Genomic DNA, 1,771 nt, shown 5'->3' with positions numbered 1-1,771 from the left:
CAAAATGGAAAGGCACAGTATACATAAGAATCAACATAGCCACAAAGTGCTCACTTTTTCTTAAATACATCTCAGCTAGAGGAGGTGAGAACAGCATAACCCAGGCAGAGGAAAAGGAACGTGTTCAGATCCCTGTTCATATTTTATTCTACAGACTTCGGTTGATTCAAAAATAGATTCAAATAGGGCCTTTGTTTTCTTATGGCCTGTTCACTAATGCTTCTTAGTAATGATCTTTAGCTTCTTATTTCACTTCTGATTTCAGTCTATGTCCATTCTCTTCTGTTTTCTCGGTTTCAGTTTCTCTGTCTACACAAACTGCTTACACATCTACCTCCTCTCCCATTTAGGTGTTTGTTTGTATTATCTACAGATCTCTTTTAACTAGATAAATTCCTTGGAACTGAAAAGAATGTTCCAGTACATCCAAGAATTCGTTAAAGAAACACCTAATACTGCAAAAATTAGACAGAAATCTTGCCGTCACAAAGCTCAGAATTTAGAGGAAACAAACAACAAAAATAATAATGTTTGTAAATGCTCTGCAGTGAGTTTTCAAGTACTGTGTCAATGTTTGGTACGTTCCCATAAACTGGTATAGGTAGATCAGGAAATTACACTTGGAGTAAGTCTTCCTGGTCGAAATACCTCATCTCCAAGCTACACCCCACCCTGCAGTTAGAAATATCACTATTCCACCTGTCTCCCAAGTTCCAAAATATACCAATAAGATCTGATGTGTCCTTCATTTTCCATTTATATTAATTGCCATATTGTTCACTTTCTACTATGAAAATACCATATGAAAATATGATGGAAATGGTTCAGAAGAAAGATTATTTCCTCTTCACTGATAAAAGTCTAAAATACTTAGGTTCAGTCTCTGTAAACTGCTTACATGAGATATATATATAAGATTGTAAATATATCCCCTAGTATATTATATTTAGCTGAATAGAGAAAGAAATGCAAAAAGGTTCCTTTAAAATAAGCCCATTAAGCAGCCTGCCTTGTTTTTTAATAAGCCAAATGCTCTATTTATATGTTCTAAACTGCAATTAACTCATTTAAAAGATTGTTTAGCATTTCAGGCAGTTTATCGCTATAATATTAAGTCTTTCTTGGTATCAATTTGGTTCCATTATAATGTGTCTATTTTTAGTGAAGTCACGATGAAACATTCTTTGTTGATCCTCTTTCCCAGAAGGCTGAATAATTTCATCTGATTGCCTAGGTCTTTTTTCCAAGCTTTAACATCCAGTAACAACATTTTCAGAAAGAAAAAAATGAAGTGATTAAATGAAAGAAAAAAATGAATCCACTTTTTCTATCATCACTACAGTTTTATTTCTCTAAATCAAAATCAAAATCTCAAATCAAAGCTTTAGGCATCTCGGAAGCTTTCGCTAAGCAATCCATTTGACAATGATATGTTTTCATTTAATTATCCTCTCACATAATTATATGGTTTTGGCATATATGTACTAATCTTCACCTTCTCTAAACTGAAATTCTCTTTGCCTCTCTACGAGGTAAAGCATGGACTTTGATCAAGATATACCTAGGTTCCAAGCCTGGTTCTGTCATTCCCAGGCTACATAAACTTGGGTAAGTTACTAAGCCTCCCTGAACCCTCTTCATCTATAACACAGAGACCGTAACACTTTATAGCAAGGTTTCTCAACGTTGGCGATGTTAACATTTTGTATCAGACAATTATTTGCTGTAAGGAGCTGTTCTGTGTATTGTAGTATATTTATCAGCATCTCTG

The 1,771-nt window shown here is 34.3% G+C and overlaps 1 annotated feature.

Annotated features, from left to right (window-relative positions):
* Nucleotides 322–381: an enhancer, noted in NCBI's record as "active region_26571". NCBI's record gives its function as "activates an Ori minimal core promoter by ATAC-STARR-seq in GM12878 lymphoblastoid cells {active_cell/tissue: GM12878}" and the evidence as "EXISTENCE:reporter gene assay evidence [ECO:0000049][PMID:35858748]".

This window comes from Homo sapiens, chromosome 7 (genome assembly GCF_000001405.40).
Source record: "Homo sapiens chromosome 7, GRCh38.p14 Primary Assembly".
Taxonomy (NCBI): domain Eukaryota; kingdom Metazoa; phylum Chordata; class Mammalia; order Primates; family Hominidae; genus Homo; species Homo sapiens.
This window is presented reverse-complemented; position numbering and strand designations above follow the sequence as displayed.